At 43.1% G+C, this 22324-nt stretch overlaps 2 long non-coding RNA genes across 2 annotated transcripts; one reads left to right on the top strand and one right to left on the bottom strand.

The window, feature by feature from the left end:
* The first annotated feature begins 553 nt into the window (after positions 1-553).
* LINC01927 (long intergenic non-protein coding RNA 1927) lies at positions 554-16784 on the top strand. Its single transcript, NR_110784.1, has 5 exons — positions 554-780; positions 877-1016; positions 1289-1357; positions 4599-4683; positions 16369-16784. It is a non-coding gene; the product is annotated as a long intergenic non-protein coding RNA 1927 (long non-coding RNA).
* LINC00683 (long intergenic non-protein coding RNA 683) lies at positions 16006-19788 on the bottom strand. The gene is made up of 2 exons (NR_120419.1): positions 18371-19788; positions 16006-16808 (listed from the first exon to the last, which is right to left on the bottom strand). It is a non-coding gene; the product is annotated as a long intergenic non-protein coding RNA 683 (long non-coding RNA).
* Between the last annotated feature and the right edge of the window lie 2536 nt (positions 19789-22324).

Genomic DNA, 22324 nt, shown 5'->3' with positions numbered 1-22324 from the left:
AACCCAGGAGGCAGAGGCTGCAGTGAGCCGAGATCGCGCCACTGCACTCCAGCCTGGGTGACAAGAGTGAGACTTCGTCTAAGAAAAAGAAAAAGATTTACGTCCAGATCTCTCAGATCTGCTGCCTGGCCCTTGACTACCGTGGCATTCAGCTCCCCCGACAGCTTCCTTTCTCCAAGGAGGGAGCTGGACTCATGGAGTCAGCCTGGGCAAGAGCAAACTCCTTGGGCCACTGCAGCAACTGCGCTCACTCTTTCGAGTTCCCGCCTTTTCCCTTGAAATTCCCATTTATTGGGGGATTAGACATAAATATTTGTAATTTATAGTGCAAATAGTCTTTACTTTGCTTCCTACAAAATACTTAAATCAAAATGAGATTGTCAGGCAGTGCACAAAACAGGTGTGGTCAACCACCTTTCTAATGTTTGGATAATGTTAAAGAGGTCTGCGAATTCAGGAAATGATCTCGTGGTTACCAGGCAGCCAGCGTACCCCTCCTGATGGATTGTGGGTCGGGAAGAGCACAAGTGTTTTGTAACTATGGAAACAAACTGAGTTTGTCAAGCCAGAAAGCAACCCTCCAGCATCCAGATTACCCTTCGAAGACGGCAAAGAAAAAGAGAGCTCTGAAATCACTCAACGCATAGGAGCTGGTTCTATAATTTTTAGACTTTAATTAAATCAATTATTAAAGCCTTTCTTAATGCCTTGCTGAGATATTCAGGCTCGGGCTGCCTCAGGAGAGAGGAAGTGGTTGAATGCACAGAGGTGGCTAATAAGGTTGGTCACTGGCCCCTGAGGGACGCTAGGCAATAAGGAAGGTTCTCCCTTCCACACCCTTTCCAGTCTCGCCCTCACTCCTTGTGTCTCTTCCAGAGGGGACACAACATTCCAGAATCCCACAGGAAAGATTCTACCATCTCCACAGCTGCCCTCGCCGCAGTCCTCCCTACTGTTGGAGAAGATGCCCCCAATAACTGGGGTGTCTCGAGCTAGTGGACACATCATGGAGCTGGGTGAGGCCAGAGGACCTTCCTAGAAAAGGGAATATTTCTCTCTCTCTCTTAGTGATCTGCCTGGGTCAGGAGTTTGGGATCACTGGCAAGTTGAACAGGTCCTGTGGATCTTTTCTAGCCTCTGTGTGCCCTAGAGAAGGAGGGCTGGCTCACATCTCCCTGTGGCCGTATTCAGAAATAACTGGGGAATAGAACACAGTGTATTGGCTCGTACAGAGTCCACGGTGAGGGGCCGTGGCCATACCTGCTGCCTTGTTGACCTTGGTTTGCAGAGTGGACTGTGTCATTAAGATCCTCCCATGGCCTCATCCTGTGCTGGCCATCGCTATGCGTCCAGTAAGGTAAGGAGTTTGCTGAAACAGGCAGTTTCTTCAGAGCACAATTTTATCGGGTGACTTGGATGAACTGGCTTGGGTGTGGGGTGTCCAGAATGACAATGTCTCTGTCAAGGGCCCTGGTTCCATGCTGAGGACGTCTCTGCAAACACGTGGGAGGGAAACAGAGAGGATGGGGCAGGACAGCACACACCCACCTTTCCTCCAGGCACCTGTCTGGCTCCGCACGTCTTCCTCATGGGTGATGGCAGCCAGATCTGACCTGGGCTCCTCTGAAGACGCAGCAGAGCTTTGATTGCATGAGTGCAGCTGGGGAAAGAGCCCATAATGCAGCAATTATTGTTCATTTGTTGCTATGGTATTTCTGTGGCCTGTTTGGATCCATGAATGTCTTGATTATTTTCAATACCCATTTATAGAACATTCTGTTCATCTCAAAGTACTTTGAGACCATCTTTGTAGGATACTCTCTGTAACAGACACAAGTTAGTAATGGCATTGCTATTTTACAAATGAGCACATTGAAGTGGGGTGTTGTTTTAATAACTAAAATCAGGGAAAGTGAAAGAAAAGACATATGATAAATGACATTATCATTCTAATAAAGGAAACGGCTTTAGGTTAAATTATATTTGACATAAATTGATGTTTTGACATCAACGGATATCACTGAGGTTTTGACATCTAGTTGGTGTCACAGTTGGGAGAAATATTATTTGAGGAACAGGTTACCGGGAAAGGCAGGCCTAATGAAGCAGAAAGAGGAGATCAGCAATAACTCTGGCTTTCAAATCTTTGGTTTCCAAAGAAACTATGTAGAAAATTAATGAGTTCACAGCTCAATCGTCTATGTATTGGAGCCTATATTCACAGAATGTTTACAACTTTTGGGTAATAGGGTATGATAATTGTTATGTATGTATAATACTAAGATAATATAATTGTGTAATTAAAAGAAAAAAATCCCCCTATGAGTAAATACATCTTGGGATATTCATGCAATGGAATTCTATAGAATAGTGAAAATGAATGACATTCAGCTGAAAATGTCAACACCCGTGGATGACTTCCCAAACATAAACTTGAACCAAAGACTGGGTTATCTACAATATAATGCCACTTATCTTAAATGGAAACTTCAAATATATGCAAGATTTAGCAACATATACTTTAAGGATACATGGTTATATAGGAAAATGAGAAAGGAAATTAAGTCAATTATGAACACAACATTAGACGATGGTGGCTCTGGGAGGAAGGAGAAGGAATGGCGTCGGGAAGGCCCAGTCCTTAGAGTCTTCAGCGATACTGACACAGCTCTAAGGCCTAAGCTGAGTGGCTGACTTGGGCCTGCTTGTAATAGTATTCTTTGTATCTCATGTGTACTTTTTAATATTTTCTTTTGTGTTTACAAGCCATAGGAACAGTCACTGGCTTGCTTTTGGTGGTTCTCCAACTGCAAACCTTGATTTGTTTCTATGGATCACGTGGAGAGCTGTCCTAAGCACTGGCATCTGCTCAGCAGGGATTTAATTAGGGCTGTCCACGACTTTCATTTTCACAGAAAATAATTCATGTAGGTCAGAGGACACGTTCGTCACAGTTTTGTGTTATGGGATTATAAGTGATTTCAAACCCCAAAGATTATCCTAGAATAATAATGAGTATAAATAAGCCCAGTGGCTGAATTCTCAAATATGTGTCTTAAAAAAGCAAATGTGAACCAGAATGATGACGTTTTAAAAAAAATTTCAACAGATGTGTTGGTAAAATCATACGAAATAAAATAGATTATCTACTTTCACTTCCGCCTTCATACGACTTTCCTAGAACACGAGATCATATTAGGAGAGTATCCTACAATTTCCCTTCTCCTCTGGTTTACAGAAAGGAACTGAGGCAGCGGGAGGTAAGGAGACTTCTTTAAAATCAGAAGACACTTAGTGCCAACAGAGTCTAAGCCTCTCAACTCACAAGAAAATGGCCAGCCCACCCTACTACCCCTGCTCTGCCCTCTCCTCTCCTTCGATACACACTATTGAGAGTGCATACACCAAGTCTAGAGATCCATTCCAGTACAAGAAGCACTGACTGGAGGGGCAAGAGATCGATGTTTTGGTTCTAAATCTACAATCTAAGCCACTTACTATATAAGAACCTTAGCCAGGGTAACATGGCAAGACCTCATCTATACAAAAAATGAAAAAAAAATTGCCAGGTGTGGTGGTGTGCACCTATAATTCCAGCTACTTGGGAGGCTGAGGTGGGAGGATTGCTGGAGCCCAGGAGGTTGAGACTGCAGTGAGCTGTGTTTGCACCACTGCACTCCAGCCTGGGCAACAGAGCAAGACCCTGTTTCAAAGAAAAAAAAGCAATTATCCTGCCTCAGCCTCCCAAGTAGCTGGGATTACAGGCACCTGCCACCACACCCGGCTAATTTTTGTATTTTTAGTAGAGAGGGGGTTTTGCCATGTTGGCCAGGCTGGTCTGGAACTGATGACCTCAGGTGATCTGCCCGCTTTGGCCTCCCAAAGTGCTGGGATTACAGGTGTGATCCACCGCACCCGGCTAGACTTTTTAATACATCCATCATCATTATCATCATCACCACCACCATCTAAACTCATTCAAGGATTCTTTATCTCCACCAAACATGTCCTATACTTTGCACTGTTTTGTACCATGGGAATGAATGGTGTTTGAAACAATAGGGCAAAATCTTTACTTGTGGGACAATATGTTTTAGACATTCTGGTGAGCAGGTAAAATTCCTAAAGTAGGTTAGTGCCTATTGGCACTGTGTCTTTTATTCCTAAACAAGCATAAAGGTTTGTGTTAAAAACAAAATTTGACCTAATTTCAGCATAGAATGCAATGGCAGATGCTTGTTTGATTTTTTCTTCCAAGGTGCTCTTATTATTACCATCCTCTTTAAATTCTTCCAATATTACTTGGGTGGGGGGCACTTTATTATGTGCTAATCCTTCTATTAACACCTGACAGCTTTTTACCATCCAGGGGGTAAGGCCTGGAGTAGGTACCCACAGCAACAGAACCACAGGACACAGTCTTTGTCCATGGAAGAATCCAGGATGCTAGGGGTTAAATAGCCTATCCCAAATCTCTAAAAAGAGGTGCTTTGCATCAGGAAGGTTTTTATAGAGAACATCCTAGAAAAACATTTTAACCTCCTTCTTTGCTCCCAGTGCAATGGGCCAACACCAAACTTCTTTTTGTTGTGTCTTAGGAGGTAGAACACTGGATGAGCCACAGAAAGCACACAGGACTTTGCTGTGGAAGAGTCAAAGATCCACGTGGGAGCATCCCGTAGGGTAAGGACAGGTCCAGATCCTGAGTTCAGACCACCAAGGAGCAGGGAGAGGGAGGATTTACTTGCATTTCAGCTTTGTTAGGGGAAGACCCAGCACTGCATCCACTGATACACACCTTGGGGAGTCTGCCAGAATACAAAGGAATGACAAACACCCTTTGAAATCTATTCGTCTGACTCTCTAGATTTACATACATAATATTCTTTCCTGACATTCATTTCCACCCATAACAACAGTAACAAACTTGTTCTGTTTGAGACAATGCCATTCTCCTTATTTCAAACAAAAAATGTGCTCACTCCCTCACCAATGGGTGACAACAGTTACTGACCGCATCCATCCTCAATCCTGAATGTTCATTCATTCTCAAGTTCCACTTGCACCGTAGTTGCGTTATTCTGAAACCTATGAACTAAATTACAGTTAACTGTAAACAAACCGTATATATAATAGTGAGAGAGAAGAGAGAGGAATCAAACAAAAATTAATTAACTCATAAATATATACATGACACAGCAGGAAGGAGAGGATACAGTCTGGATTTCTGCAGCTGTTCATGAGGCCAAAGCTGATATTTAAGACTTCTTTTTATTATCAGGTTTATTTTGCTTTCAGCCAACACCTCAAATGGTCTGAAGTCTTTATACACGAGGGCTTCCCAAATATTAATTCTTCATAAACCTGACAGCTTGTTGGTCCTGTCTGTAGAAGATGGTGTTAGTCAGAGTTCTCCAGAGAAAGAGGAACAACAGGATGTGTATATGTAGTGCACACATAAAGAGACTTATTTTAAGGAATTGGTTCATGCAGTTGTGGAAGTTGGCTACTCCAAAATCTGCAGGGTTGACTGGCAGGCTGGAGATCTAAGGAAGAGCCAAGACTGCAGTTCAAGTCTGAAGACTGTCTGCCACAGAATTCCTTTTTGCTCTGGAGAGGTTAGGCTGATTTATTCAGTCCTTCGACTGATTAGATGAGGCCCACCCACATTACAGAAGGCAATTTGCTTTACTGAAAGTCCACCAATTTAAATGCTAATCTTATCTAAAAATATCCACACAGAAACATGCAGAATAATGGCTGCATGTTAATAAGGACAGTACATCTGGAACAGCTGCTGCTGAAATCAGGACTCACAATGTCCCATGAGAGTGAGAACTTACTGCCACAAGATGGCATTAATCTGTCAATGAGGGACCCACCCCCAGACTCAAACATTTTCACTAGACTTCACCCCTCAACACTGCCATATGGGGAAGGAAATTTCAACACAAGTTTTGGTAAGAACAAACCACATCCAAATCCTAGTAGCATACAATTATTATAGTCTTATTCATTTTTTTCCTGTGAAGTTGGTAGCAATGTCCCTGCTTCCATTCCTAATTTTAGTTATTTGAATCTTCTCACTGTTTTCTTGGTCAGACTAGCTAAAGGTCTGTCAATTTTGTTGATTTTTTTTTTTTTCAAAGAGCCAATTTTTGGTTTCACTTCTTTTCTCATTTTTCTATTGTCTACTTTGTTATCACTAGTCTAATCTTTATTGTTTACTTCTTTTGCTTGTTTTGGGTTTCAGTTTGCTCTTCTTTTCCTTTATTTATTTATTTATTTATTTGAGACAGAGTCTTGCTCTGTTGCCTAGGCTGGAGTGCAGTGGCGCAATCTCGGCTCACTGCAACCTCTGCCTCCTTGTGATCCGCCTGCCTCAGCCTCCTAAAGTGCTGGGATTACAGGTGTGAGCCACCATGCCCTGCCTGCTCTTCTTTTTCTAGTTCCTTAACGTACAAAGCTAGGTTATTGATTTGAGATATTTATTCTTTTCAAATGCAGAATTTTACAACTATAAATGTTTCTCTAAATACTGCTTCCCATGGTTTTGGTATTGTGTGTTTTTGCTTTCATACATCTCCAAATATTCTCTAATTTCCTTTGTGATTTCTTCTTTGATCCATTGATTGTTTAGGTGTGTTGTTTAATTTCCACATATTGTGAATTTTCCAGTTTTTCTTCTATTATTAATTTCTAGTTTTATTCCATTGGGTTGGAGAAGATACTTTGTATGACGTGAATTTATAAAGACTTATGTCATAACATATGGTCTATCCTGGAGAATGCTCCATGTATAATTGAGAAGAATGGGCATTCTGCTGTTGTTGAGTGGAGTGTCCTATAAATGTCTATTAGGTCTAGTAGGTTTATAATTTTTTCAAGTCTTCTGTTTCCTTGATGATCTTCTGTTTAGTTGTTCTATCCATTATTGAAAGGGGTATATTGAAATCTTCAAATAAATATTATTGTTGAACTCTTTCTCTTTTCAATTATCTCATAACTTTACGTATTTTGGAGGCTCTGTTTGCAGGTGCATATATGTTCCTAATTGTCATATCTTCTTAATGGAGTGACTCTTTTATCTCTTATAACAATTCTTGTCATAAAGTCTTTTTTGCCTAGTGTTAGTATAGCCCTCCAGCTCTCTTTTGGTTACTGTTTGCAAGGAATATTTTTTTCCATTATTTGACTTTCAACCTACTTATGTCTTTGAATTGAAAGTGTCTTTTGTACATGGAATCAATCCAAATGTCCATTAATGATAGACTGGATAAAGAAAACATGGTACATATACACCATGGAATACTATGCAGCCGTAAAAAGGAATGAGATAATGTCCTTTGCAGGGACATGGATGGAGCTGGAAGGCATTATCCTCAGCAAACTAATGCAGGAACAGAAAACCAAACATGGCATGTTCTTACTTATAAGCAGGAGCTGAACAACATGAACACATAGACACAGGGAGGGGAACAACACACACTAAGGCCTGTCCGGAGCTGTGGGGAGGAGGGAGAGCATCAAGAAAAATAGCTAATGCATGCTGGGCTTAATACCTAAGTGATGGATTGATAGGTGCAGCAAGTCACCATGGCACACATTTACCTACGGTAACAAACCTGCACATCCTGCACATGTACCCCAGAACTTAAAAGAAAAAAAAGAAAGTGTCTTTTGTGAAGAGCATATACTTGGATCAAGTAGTTTTTTAAATCCATGCGGCAAATCTCTGCCTTTTCATTGTAGAATTATTGTAGAATTTAATTCATTTGCATTTAATATAATTACTGATAATGAAGGATGTTTCCTTGTTTTTTTTTTTTTTTTTTTTTTGAGACGGAGTCTCGCTCTGTCACCCAGGCTGCAGTGCAGTGGCATGATCTGGGCTCACTGCAACCTCCACCTCCCGGGTTCAAATGATTCTCCTGCCTCAGCCTCCTGAGTAGCTGGGACTACAGGCACGTGCCACCACGCCCGGCTAATTTTTTTTTTCTTTTTTTTTTTTGAGACAGAGTTTCGCTCTTGTTGCCCAGGCTAAAGTGCAATGGCGTGATCTCGGCTCATTGCAACCTCTGCCTCCCGGGTTCAAGCAATTCTCCTGTCTCAGCCTCCTGAGTAGCTCAGATTACAGGCATGCACCATCATGCCTGGATAATTTTGTATTTTTAGTAGAGATGGGGTTTCTCCATGTTGGTCAGGCTGGTCTTGAACTCCTGACCTCAGGTGATCCACCCGCCTCGGCCTCCCAAATTGCTGGGATTACAGGCGTGAGCCATTGCGCCTGGCCTGTTTGTTTCTTTTACTTATATTTGTGAGTTATTTTCTAAGTAGTCGCCCTGGGGATTAAAATTAGCATCTTGATTTCTGAAAATCTAGTTTGGATTCATACCAACTTGATTTCAACTAAATATAAAAACTTTGTTTCTTTATAGCTCTGCTCTCCATGCTGCTATTGTCACAAAATATCTTTATACCTTAAGTGCCCATCAAAAATAGATTTATAAATTTTGTTTTATACAGTTGCCTTTTAAATCAGATAGAAAAAAAAGCGAAGTTATTAAAAATCACATGATCACCTCAATAGATGCAGAAAAACCATTTGACAAAATCCAGCATCGCTTTATAATTAAAACCCTCAGCAAAACTGGCGTAGAAGGGACATACCTTAAGGTAATAAAAGCCATTTATGACAAACCCACAGCCAACATTATATTGAACGGGGAAAAGTTGAAAGCGTTCCCTCTGAGAACTGGAACAAGACAAGGATGCCCACTTTCACCACTTCTATTCAACATAGTAACGGAAGCCCTAGCCAGGGCAATCAGACAAGAGAAAGAAATCAAGGGCATCCAAATTGGTAAAGAGGAAATCAAACTGTCACTGATAATGATATAATTGTATACCTAGAAAACCCTAAATACTCATCCAAAAAGTTCCTAGAACTGGTAAATTAATTCAGCAAAGATTCAGGATACAAAATTAATATATACATATCAGACCAGGCACGGTGGGTCATGCCTATAATCCTAGCACTTTGCGAGGCCGAGGCGGGAGGATCACCTTAGGTCAGGAGTTCAAGACCAGCCTGGCTAATATGGTGAAACCCCATCTCTACTAAAAATACAAAAATTAGCCAGGCGTGGTGGTGCATGCCTGTAATCCCAGCTACCTGGGAGGCTGAGACAGGAGAATTACTGGAACCTGCGTGGCAGAGGCTGCAGTGAGCCAAGATTGTGCTACTGCACTCCATCCTGGGCAACAGTGAGACTCCATCTCAAACAAAAACAAAAACAAACAAACAAAAACAAAATTAATATACGCAAATCAGTAGCTCTGCTGTACACCAGCAGTGACCAAGCTGAGAATCAAATCAAGAACTCACCCCCTTTTACAATAGCTGCAAAATAATAATAATAATAATAATAATAATAATAATATACTTAGGAATATAGCTAACCAAGGAAGTGAAAGACCTCTACAAGGAAAACTACAAAACACTGCTGAAAGAAATAATAGATGGCACAAACAAATGGAAACACATTCCATGCTCACGGATGGGTAGAATCAATATTGTGAAAATGACCATACTGCCAAAAGCAATCTACAAATTCAGTGCAATTCCCATCAAGATACCACCATCATTCTTCACAGAACTAGAAAAAAAATCCTAAAATTTATATGGAACCAAAACAGAGCCCGCAAAGCCAAAGCAAAACTAAGCAAAAAGAACAAATCTGGAGGCATCACATATCCGACTTCAAACTATACTATAAGGCCATAGTCACCAAAACAGCATGGTACTGGTATAAAAATAGGCATATAGAGCAATGGAATAGAATAGGAAACCCCAGAAATAAAGCCAAATACTTAGAGCCAACTGATCTTTGAAAAAGCAAACAAAAACATAAAGCTGGGCAAGGACACCCTATTCAAAAAATGGTGCTGAAGTACATGGCAAGCCATATGTAGAAGAATGAAACTGGATCCTCATCTCTCACCTTGTACAAAAATCAACTCAAGATAGATCAAAGACTTAAATCTAAGACCTGAAATCATAAAAATTCTAGAAGATAACATTGGAAAAACCCTTCTAGACCTTGACTTAGGCAAAGACTTCATGACCAAGAACCCAAATGCAAATGCAACAAAAGCAAAGATAAATAGATGGGACTTAATTAAACTAAAAAGCTTCTGCAACAGCAAAACAAATAATCAGCACAGTTAACAGGCAACCCACAGAATGGGAGAAAATCTTCACAATCTATATATCTCACAAAGGACTAATATCCAGAAGCTACAAAGAGCTCAAACAAATCAGCAAGAAAAAAACAATCCCATCAAAAAGTGAGATTCTCAAAGATATACAAATGGCCAATAAGCATATGGAAAAATGCTTAACATCACTAATTATCAGGGAAATGCAAATCAAAACCACAATGTGGTACCACCCCACTCCTGCAAGAATGGCTATACTCAAAATTCAAAAAATAATAGATGTTGACATGGATGTGGTAGAAAGGGAACACTTTTACACCGTTGGTGGGAATATAAACTAGTACAACCATTATGGAAAACAGTGTGGTGATTCCTTAAAGAGCTAAAAGTAGACCCACTGTTTGATCCAGCAATCCCAGTACTAGGTATCTACCCAAAGGGAAAAAGTCCTTATAAGAAACTTACACATGCCATGTTTATAGCAGCACAATTTGCAATTGCAAAAATATGGAACCAGCCCACATGTCCATCCATCAACAAATGAATAAAGAAAATGTGATACACACACACACACACACACACACACACACACACACCATGGAATACTACTCAGCCATAAAAAGGAATGAAATAATGGCATTCACAACAACTTGGATAGAATTGGAGACCCTTATTCTAAGTGAAGTGACTCAGAAATGGAAAACCAAACATGGTATGTTCTCACTCATAAGTGGGAGCTAAACTATGAGGATGTAAAAGCATAAGAATAATACAATGGCACATATACACTATGGAATACTATGCAGCCATAAAAAAGAATGAGTTCATGTCCTTTGCAGGGACATGGATGAAGGTGGAAACCATCATTCTCAGCAAACTAACACAGGAACAGAAAACCAAACACCGTATGTTCTCACTCATAAGTGGGAGCTGAACAGTGAGAACACATGGACACAGGGGGGGAACATCACACACTGCGGCCTGTCAGGGGATGGGGGGCCTAGGAGAGGGACAACATTAGGAGAAATACCTAATGCATGTGGGGCTTAAAACCTAGATGATAGGTTGGTGGGTGCAGCAAACCACTGTGGCACATGTATACCTATGTAAAAAACCTGCACATTCTGCACATGTATCCCAGAACTTAAAGTACAAATAATAATAATACAATGGACTTTGGGGACTCAGGGGAAAGGGTGGGAGGGGATGATGGATAAAACACTACACATTGGGTACAGTGTATGCTGCTTCGGTGATGGATGCTTCAAAATCTCAGAAATCACCACTAATGAACTTATTCATGTAACCGAACACCACTTGTTCCCCAAAAACCTATTGAAATACAAAATAAAGAAAAAAAAGAGAGAAGTTACAAACAAAAATTACATTAATAACTGTCTTATATGTTTACTTTTGTAGATACTTTTATCAGTGTTCTTTTATTCTTTGTGTGGATTCAATTTATTTTCTAGGATACCTTCATCTTACCCTGAAGGATTTCCTTCTGATGAGAAATGAGCTATAAATTTTATTGAGAATTGCTTATACATGAGGAGTTGCTTCTCTCTTGCTGCTTTCAAGATTCTCTCTTTGTCTTTATCTTTTGAAAGTTTCATTATGATGTGTCTTGATGTGGATCTGTTTGAGTTTATTCTACTTGGAGTTTATCAAACTTCTTGGATGTACAGATTTATGTCTTTCAACCGGTTTGGGAAGATTTTGGTCATTATTTATTCCAATATTCATTCAGCCTCTTTCTCTTTACTCCTTCTTGGATTCCCATTATGCATATATTTTTATGCTTAAAGTTGTCACACAGGTCTCTGAGGCTCCTTGTCTTTTCTTTATTCTTTTAATTTCTTTTCTTCTGGCTATGTAATCTCTATAGACATACCTTCAAATTTGCTTCTTTTGTTGCTCAAGTATGCTGTTAAGACTTTCTTTTGGCAAATTTTGTATTTCCATTACTGTACTTTTTAACTCCAGAATTTCTATTTGATTCTTCTTTATAATTTATATGTCACTTTTAATATTCTCTGTTTCTTGAAACAGCATTATCATCCCTTCCTTAGACCTTTAGACATGGTTTTCTTTAGTTCTTTGAATCTATTTAAAATAGCTGATTCAAAGTTTTTGTTGAGTAAGCCCAATGTCTAAGCTTCCTCAGGGACAGTTCCTATCCTGTGAATGAGTAATATTTTCTTGTTTCTTTGCATGTCTCATAATTTTGTATTTAAAACTAGGTATTTTAGATAATATAATGTGACAATTCTGGAAATATTTTTCCCCTCTTGAGGATTTGTTGTTGTTTGTTATAGGTATAGCTAATTGTTTCTTTAGTGACTTTTCTGAACTAATTCTGTAAAGTCTCTATTCTTTGTCATGTATAGCCACTGAAGTCTCTCCTTAGTTAGCTTAGAAATCAGCTAATAATTAGAGATTTCCTTAACTACTTGGAATCGGTAAGTCTCCCAGGTTTTGCCAATGGACCCTGTGCAGGTTGGGACACACCTTCAATACTTAGCCAGGCAGTGGACAATATGACCTCATCTTAATTAATTATGTCTTCAAAGACCGTATTTCCAAATAAGGTCAAATTATGAGTTTCTGGGTAGACATGAATTTTGGGGCACAGAATTCAACCCAGGATAGAATTAGACAGACCTATGCTGGGGCCTTGGCCCCTTCCTAGCTGTGTGACCTCATAATTCTCATTCCCCCAGTAATGATGATGTCTAATTAAGGTGACAGTACCTCCCAGTGTGTCCCACAGTTTTGCTGTCCTGAAAGAATTTTTAATTTGTCCCCATTTACTTTCAAAAATATTTCAGTTTGAACAATACATTCATGCTATGTGCAATGTTTGTGGATTGCCTAACATACAGGAGGCCCTAAATAAATGACAGTACCATTAATAAAAGAAGCAGCATTTAGGATTGCGGTAAGGGCTTTCTGTAACACAGCATCTGAAGGCTGAGCCCACAAACAGTTAACAGCTGTAGACACTACCCAAAAAGGCCCTTCCTGTGCAGTGTGGAAAGGAACATAAGTCAGGCACTGATTGGAGTTTTCAGCAGTCACCCGGTGAATTGCAGCACCTTCAGCAGCTGCGAATATTAACTACACAGCAACACGAAGTGTATTTATGTTATTAGTTAAAGGGAGGCACTGAACCCTGTTCACCGATTTCTCCTCCAGCTTAGCACAGTCTTGAAAATACTACCGCTTTTTTTTTTTTTTTTGAGGCAGAGTCTCGCTCTGTCACCCAGGCTGGAGTGCAGTGGTGCGAACTCGGCTCACTGCAAGCTCCGCCTCCCGGGTTCACGCCATTCTCCTGCCTCAGCCTCCTGAGTAGCTGGGACTACAGGCACCCGCCACCACGCCCGGCTAATTTTTTTTTTTTGTATTTTTCGTAGAGACAGGTTTTCACCGTGTTAGCCAGGATGGTCTCGATCTCCTGACCTCATGATCCACCCGCCTTGGCCCCCAAAGTGCTGAGATTACAGGCGTGAGCCACCAAGCCCAGCCAAAAATAGTACAGTTTTTAAAGTTTGGTGAATTCATGAAAGAATTATAAAGACCTTTCCTACATCAAAACCCATTTACTCAAGTGTGGTGACTCTGGCTTTCCTGGATGGACAAACAGATTCTACATCAGCGATCCTTAGTGCCTGTTCCTTGAAACTTGTGCATCCAAATCAGTAAGGGGTTTGCCAAAAATGCAGTTTCCAGGGCCCCAACCCAGACCTATTGGATAGGAACATCTGGGATAGAGCCCAGGAATTGGATTTTCATATAATGCCCCCTGCAGTTCTCATACACACTTGCATGCAGGAATGGCTGGGTAAGGTGCCCTTTAGGAAGCCGTTCTCCTACAAGTAAAATTGAGGAATTCAGCTCCAACAGGTAGAAATCAGGAAGAACTTCTGGGCCCTACCACACTGTTTTTATCTATTTATCACCAAAAGTGGATTTTAAAATAATCCTCAAAGACTCGACTACCATTTTTCTTATCAACTTAAATATTTAACTCTGTGAGGCATTTTTTTTTGAGACAGAATCTCCGTCTGTCACCAGGCTGGAGTGCAGTGGTGCAATCTTGGCTCACTGCAAGCTCCGCCTCGTGGGTTCAAGTGATTCTCCTGCCTCAGCCTCCCGAGTAGCTGGGATTACAGGTGCCTGCCACCATGCCCGGCTAATTTTTGTATTTTTAGTAGAGACGGGGTTTCACCATGTTGGCAAGAATGGTCTCGATCTCTTGACCTCGTGATCAGCCCACCTTGGCCTCCCAAAGTGCTAGGATTACAGAGGCATTGGATTTTTAAATCAACTAAAGGGACAGTATTACATTTATCTGTGGTTCTAGAACTCTGCTATCCAATAAGGCAGACAATAGCCACATTTAGCTATTTAAACTTAATTAAAAGTAAATGAAATGAAAAATTCAGCTCCTCAGTTGCACTAGCCAGGGGCCAAGTGCTCAATAGCCACAGGGCTGGCTCCCACATTGGCCAGTGCAGATACAGACCCTTTCCATCCCACAGCAGGACCTGTTGAACAGCACCGTGAACAGCCTGCCAACCATGGCTGCACAACAGAATCACCTGTGGGCTTCCAAAATCCCCAGGTCTAGGCCACAGCCCTAGACCAACTTAATCACAGCCTCTGGGAATGGGACCCAGGACTTTTGAAAGGTTAGCTTGCACCAGAATCATCTGGAGAAAGTGTGAGCAGAGATTGCTGGGCTGTACCCAGAATTTTAGATTCAGTCTGGGTGAGAGCAACTTGCATTTTTAGCAAGCTCCCAGGTGAGGCCGAGGCCCCTGGTCCAGGGAGCACACTTTGCAGTCACCCTCTTAAGGTAAAGCTAAACCTTGAGTTCTGCCTCTGTGCCTACGGAGCACCTGATGGTCGCCTCTGGCCTTGCCCATTTCTCCTTCCCTGAAAGCTCAGCAGAGCAAGCAGGGAGTCCCCAGGCCATGCTCCCTGAGAAAAGGCCTCCGAAGGCCAGGAACTATTCAAGGCTGAGACCCAGCATCCAGTTAAAAGGAAGCTTCCCTGTTTCTTCCAGCTGTCCTTCCATCATTTTGTTCTTTTCCGTCATTCCCAAGCCCCTGCTGCTGTGGGGCCCATCACTGCTTCTCCACCTCTATTGCGAGCTCCAAGAATTACTGGGCACACACAGTTTTGCCCCTTTACAAACGCCTCCTGTGGATTATTTGAGTCCCATAGTCCATTGAGTGTTCTTGGTTTTCTTCCTGGCCCCCAAGAGAATCAAACTAATGGATTATCTGTAAAGATGGTGGCCCCAGCCTTTTGCAGCCTGAAACTTCTGGAAGCCAGAGCCCCATTCCTGCATATTTAGACCTAAAATGAGACTGGCCCCAAAGGGATGCAACCAAACAGCCTGTGATAGACTGTCTCAATCTAAATCAGCTCCAAAGCTTCTCCTCACATCACTGTTGCGTCCTATTCGAAGGATTATCCTAAACACGTGAACTCTCCCAACAGAAGGATTTCCTTCGCTGCTGCACCTCCTTCCAGTTCATCTCATTCAGTGCGTTCCCCTCTTCGCTCCAAGCACACAGAGCATGTGTGGAGGATGACCGCCCAGTCCTCACTTAGCCAGTATTTTCCAGTTTTTAAAATATGAAGGTTCTTGAACCTAGTCTCAATTTCTGTGCCTTAAGGAAATGAAGGATAATCGTTTCTCTATTTGAATTGCTTAATTTCACTAAACTCTAAATTTTAAGGGTTATTTTGAAGCAACAAATTTCACTATTTCTTAGTATCTATTTTTTATTGGTGTGTTAAAGTACAAAATAAGTAAATCAAATCCTACCACAAACCAGAAAAATTAATGGAATCATTGGAAATCAAGTATTCAATTGGAGCTTAATAATCCATCAGCTTCTGAAAACACTAAGCAGTGAAGAAGCAGCTCATGGATCCTGTTCCAGCGACTTTTGTGATAATAATATCAAATAATAAAAAATTAAAAAAAGTACAAGAGGTTAACAATATAATCGTTTGGGTTTACCATCAGATATACTTGCCCATGGATTACTTCTTGAATTCTAGCCCTGAATCGAATTGATTTCATAGAATGGTATAAAATGTTTATAAAGTCTCTCCTCTGTCTTGCAGGGACTTGCGTTTCAGATCAGATGATGCTTTTCATGTATGTCCAGCAGCAAGAGAGTCCTTCACTGGTGAAAAATCACGGGCCTCAGAGCAGATTTTAGTTCATCTTTCATTTCAAAGCACTCCTTAGATATCTGCAAATTAAATCCCCTAATTTGGTGAGGACGCCCAGCTTCCCAAATAACAAGGCTTTTCCTTTGATTCTAACCAAGTGAGCCGGCCCTGCAAAAGCCGGGGTGCGTGTTCTGGCTCCAGGCTTCTGAGCAGCCTTTCTCCCCACGCTGCAGCTTTTCAGTTAGGAAGTCAGAGAGAAGGAAAGAGAACTATTTCCAATTCAATCACGAGCATGTCTACGCACCACTGAAGACAGACCTTTGTCCTGTTGCTTTCCAAACTTTAAATGTGAATTTTTCTTCTTATGATGACTGGTGTACTCTGTTATTCTGAAAAAAGAAAAAGCCATAAGCACCCTGAAGTGAGGCTTTCACCTGATACTAATTTTCTTCTTCGTTATAAGGCTATTGTTTGTTTGAACAAAGAAATAGGAGCCATTGGTGGCTGTTTACATTATAGGAATGAGGGCAGCGATGGGGGAGGAGGAGGGGACCTTTTCATTAATGAGCTGGGGACATTGATTATGGGGACACACTAAAGACTAAAAGGGACACCTATATTTCTACATTCTTTCCATGCAAGTAATATATGATCTTTATCATCTGTTAAACACCACTCACATATTTCAGGTGGCTGTAGGTTGATTGCTAACATTTAGATTAAACAAGCAGTTAGAGTCTGATGTTTAAAATAAAATAAGACAAGCCCTTGAACTCTGGGACCAGGTATGCCCCGTTATCTGGTCGTACCTGAACGAGCCTGTGTTGAGCACCCAAGGCCGCTGGGCACGTCTGTGGATGTGGGGTTTCAGGCTCAACCCACTCGAGGAGCAGGGGGCTTTTGGGAGGTGGCAGCCTCCTATACAAAACGAGCTGCCAGTAAATATTTATAGAACAAAGAAATGCATGAATTTCTCCTGAATTAAACATGATACATTTGTACAGAGCATAGTTCACTTTCATTTCAGTGACCCAAAATCCTGCTGAAAGTGTTCTTCCGAAACCTCAGAGCAGGAATGCTTCCTGTGCTTGGAAACTCCCTGGAGACACCTCCAATCGGAGTAAGCAGCAGAATTATCTGCACACTCATAGTCTTGCAGTCGAGTATTTTTACTGAAAAAAAAAAAGCCGTCTGTTTGAATAGGAAACGATGATATCATGTGACTGGCTTTCTCCTGCCACCCACTAATTTGACAACAGATCAGATCAGAGGAAAAGTTACTCAAGTCAGAATTTTTTTAAAAAAATCTTTTGGGAACAAACTCATAAATGGAAGAAAGGGGAGAGTAACAAATGCAGACTGAATACATGGCAGGTCCAGGCTTTTACTATCATTGTTTTTAGCTCACCAGGTAATCAAAGCATAAAACAAAGGGTGATTTGTCAAAGCTTATGCTGTTGTCCCTGAACCACCAAGGGGGGGGTGGCTGCTGGACTAATTCGCTTCACGTGGGAATCAGTGTTTACCATTTAAGGGTCCTGATAGAAAGTGCACGATTTTCAAACTGGAAAACATAAATAATAACGCGTGTTGCCACTAAAGTAGTGGCACCTTGCCGTATTTCTCTTCTGAATGGAACAACCTACATTTCAAAGGACAGTCTCCTTCCACATGTAAATATTTATTTGCTTGCTGCTGAGGAGTGTCAGGAAGTACTAAAGAACGGTGTTTAGAGTTTCAGAAGCAAATTGCTTCTGCGCACGCCTTGAGTCACTGGATTCTGTTGAGCTCTCTGCCTCTACGTCAGGGCTTCATTAATCTTTTCTTTTCTTAAAAAAATAGAAAAGCTTTTCATTTATTGCTTCTAGGAAGCCAGGTGCATTGCAGTGGATCTCTTCGGCAGAATCACTGCTTTGTGTGAATATTTATTGTGTAATTATTGAGCACCTACCATGTGCAGGGCAAGGCGGGGGGCACCCAGGCGTCCACTCTCCTGCAGAAGTCCTGGGTCCCAGGCCCGCATCTTTGGGGCCACCTTCAACTGGGAGGGTGTTCGCTTTTCTGTGACACAGAGAGGCTTAAATCCCTCAGTGATTTAAAAATCTCGTCTGTGAGTCCAAACTGCTAGGTTGGCAGCCAGGAAGAGAAAGTTCCCAGGATTTTCAGTGGCTGAAGTTCTGGGCAAACAGCATTTGCACAAAGGAGGGGGCGAGGAAGGGGTGCAGGGAGGGCTCTCCAAGTGCCTGTTCGGCATCAGTTTACAAGTGTGCTTAGGTTGTATTTAGATGTTACGATGATTTTAAAAGTGAAATTTTGGCATTTTGCATTCAATCCTGACTAAAGCTCTTTGGTATATCGACTTAAAAGGTCTTCAGATTGCCAAGATTTTGCAGCTTGGATAATATCTTTGGAAAGGTTAAATGAGTCCATTTTCTGGAGCTTTCGTCAGCACAAGCCCATGATTCTCTGCCCTGCTGAGAAAGGAGGAGGCGAGCTGAGTTCTAGCAGATCCCCTGCTTCCGTCTCCCTCGGGCGAGCCTGTGTCTTCCGTCCCAGGAAGCCCGCTGCCGAGAAGCTGCCGCGGGTACATGCATTTCCACCTGGGCGCTTCGTTGCGTGTGAAGAAGGCCGGACGACGTCTGTTGGTGTGGCCGCAGCCTTTCAAGACATTTTAGCAACATCTGAAAGGAGAACTCCACACAGGAGCCCAGGCCTGCAGCAGGGGGCGCGCCTGGCCTCAGAGCAAACACAAAGACCAGAGGCAAACTGGTGGGGAAACGGACCTGCTCCCCAGCACGTGGGGGGCGGGTGGGGGGGGGGAGCTCACAGCGAGCGCTGGGGAAGGGCTGGAGGTCTGCAGGCCCGGCCTCCCTCCTGAGATGGGGAGAAGGGCGTCTCCCCCAAGGTGCTTTCCGTTCTGTGCCTGTCGGTGGGAACACGTCCCTGAGCCCACAGACGGGTGCCCTCCCAACACCTGCGTGGCATCTGAGGGTGGCAGGCAGCCCTGGGCCCTTCCACTTCAGGCCAGCCCGCCGGAAAGCCCGCGAGCTCCTCTCCCAGCTGACCCGGGCCTTCCCTTTTCATCCCTCTTCCTCTCCCTCCCCGCCCCCCGCCTACACTCAACAATTGGTGACCTCCTTCCAACTGCTGTGAAGTGACTTGGGTGAAACTGGAGCCAGGGGCGGAGGAACAGCCCCCTCCTGCTCCCAGGAACTCGCAGGCACAGCCCTCTTGCAGGCTGCTGGCTTTTGTTTTTAAGAAGCACCGTGTATTTTCTCTAGCGCAGGCCACGCTCAAGTTCAGGGTATTAAGAAACTGCCGAGCTGTCACCTTCACCTCAGGGCATTCTTTCTATGTAGCGCCATGTGTACGAGCGAGATCTCCCAATAGCTACGCCGGACCCACTCCTCCCACAGTATCTGTGTGCTCCTCCCAGACATTTATGTGCACACATCTGCAGACTGTCGTTCTAAGGCTGGTAGAAAATATCAGAGAGCCTTTGGTCAAATGGCTAGAACAGACCTGCTGAGCCAGAGGAGAGAACCTAATTAATCTACAGAATGTTCTCAGCTCACCAGGATGTTGGGCAACAGGAACGTCCCAGGCCCTCCAAGGCCGAGGGAGAACAAAAAAGCGGCCTGTGATTCAGTCGGGTTCACACCGTGGAAGCCAGCTTCTCTGTAACCACCGAGACACGAGTCCTCCCACACAGGCCGCACCTGAGCCAGCAGCTGCCGCTGGCAGTCTCTGAACGCCTTATCACCTGGTCATGTGGCCTGAGCGTCAGGATATCTCATCCACATTTTTACTTTCCCTGCCATGTAATCAAATCTTTCCAAACCTTTAAAGAGTTAGGTGGGAAAAAAAAATCAAAGCCAAGTTTTGCATTACATCTCCTGTGTATTTTCAATCCATTACAACAGAAACCCAGAAGAGGAGAGGAAAAAAATTAGGGGTGGACATCTCTGGCATTTTTTTCCTGTGCCCCAGTGAACCCACGACTTCCTCCTCCTTCCCACCAGGGTTGGGAAAGTTCCCAATACTGTGATTATGATATACTATATTGGATACATTCTCTTTTCTTTTTTTAAGATAAAAGTTTTATTTCAGAGAGAAGCACAAAGCCCCAACTGTTGTGAACAAGGCAGGGATTTGTGGGGACTCTGAGACCTTCAAGAGGAAACAAAATGCATCAGCTTTTGATTAAGAAGAGGACACCATGGTCCCAGCCTCCACCTCTCATCTCCCTGGCCCCAGCCCATGGGTTCTCACGACCCTGGCAGAGGGCTCCTGGAGGCTCCTCCAGCCACATTCCTGCTGCCTCCCTCTCGGGCCCTGCTACTCTTATTAAATCATCTCCAGACCCTAAGCCTCCCTCCCCCATGCTGGATCAGTTTACCTCTGGATTCCCAGTTCAGCCATTGCCACGAGGTTCTTCCTTCTTCCCTCAAGACACAGCCCCTTGACCTCCCTCCATTCTGACTTCGGTAATCACCAACTCTGAGCAACCACATTCAGACTTCATCCATTCAATGTGCATTAAATGCCTATTGTGTGCCAAGTACAGTCCCCACACTTGGGGTGCAGCAGGCAAAAGGAGAGCCACGGGTTCATCGTCACAGGTTTCTGATGGCCACTTCTCGAGTTGATCCTCAGGTGGAATTGCCAGCCTTGGTGACAGGGCTTCCTGTACATCCATGCTTCCAACTCCAGGAAGACCCACCTCAGCTGGACAAGCACCTCATTCTGCACCTGTGGATTCCACAGTCCCACTGAGACACCAGTTCACCCCAGTTATCTCTAGAATGAGGCAGAGTTCAGGGAAACCACAAGAGTCAAGCTGACCCCCATCTTTCTGCACCCCTCTCCACCCATGACCCTCTCTAGATTGCATTTTCAATCTCCTCCCACGAATCCCTTCTCTTATTCCCACAACACAAGCTCACCTCTCCATGCCTTAGTAAACAAACCAACCAAGAAACAAAAAAAGAGCCCTCTGTTTTCGCTTCCCACCATCACATTGAAAAGAATAGTTCCCACTCTTCTGGCCTCCTACTGACTCTTAGATCCGTATAATCTGACATCCAGCTGAAACCTTCTGCCGTTATACATAATTGCTTTTTCAAAGATTATAGGACCAAATGACCCACGTTTATTTTAAATTTGGGTTTAGTATTCAATCACCGAGTCACTATATCCATCCTTACAACTCCTGTTCATGCCAAGGACCTTCATCTGAACTGTCACCACATTGGTAAAGGTCATGAGAGGAGATGCCTGGGGCTAGGTGTCCTAACCCGGGAGGAAATGCCAAGGACCTCCGACGGGGCAGAGGCAGAGGTAGGTTTAAATCCAAGCATAAAACCAGATTTTTAGCATCTAGGACCCCGAACCACACAAGTCCAGGTCTACTAGTTATCCATTGTTGCCTAACACTCATCCGGCCTTTAGAGGCTTAGACAACAATCAACACAGGTTATCTCACACAGTTTCTGCAGGCTGAGATTCAGGAGCACTTCAGCGGGGTGGTGCTGGCTCAAGGTCTCCCACGAGACCGCAGGCATGGTGTGGGTCAGGCTGAGGGCCTAAGGGTGACTTCCAGGCCGGCTCTGCCTCACCTGGGGTCTCAAAGGGCTGCCCCTCTGCCCTCAGGACACAGTGCTATCTTACTCCAGAATGGGAGATCAGACCACACAAGGCGGAAGCTGCAATGTCCTTAATACCATCATTCTGCATTACCTGTGGTAACACAGGTCCTCTCTGTTAGGTGTGAAATGGGGCTACACAGGTGTGAATGCTGGCATGAAGCTCCTTGGGTGCCATTTGGAGGCCACAGCAGGGTTAAATGGGACTCTGGAAGGGAGAGGGAAAATGGCTTTAGGAGAACCTGTTAATGGTTTCCAAA

The sequence above is a fragment of the Homo sapiens genome, chromosome 18 (genome assembly GCF_000001405.40).
Source record: "Homo sapiens chromosome 18, GRCh38.p14 Primary Assembly".
Taxonomy (NCBI): Eukaryota; Metazoa; Chordata; class Mammalia; order Primates; family Hominidae; genus Homo; species Homo sapiens.
Note: the sequence above shows the minus strand (reverse complement) of the source record. Positions and strands in the feature narration are given on the sequence as shown.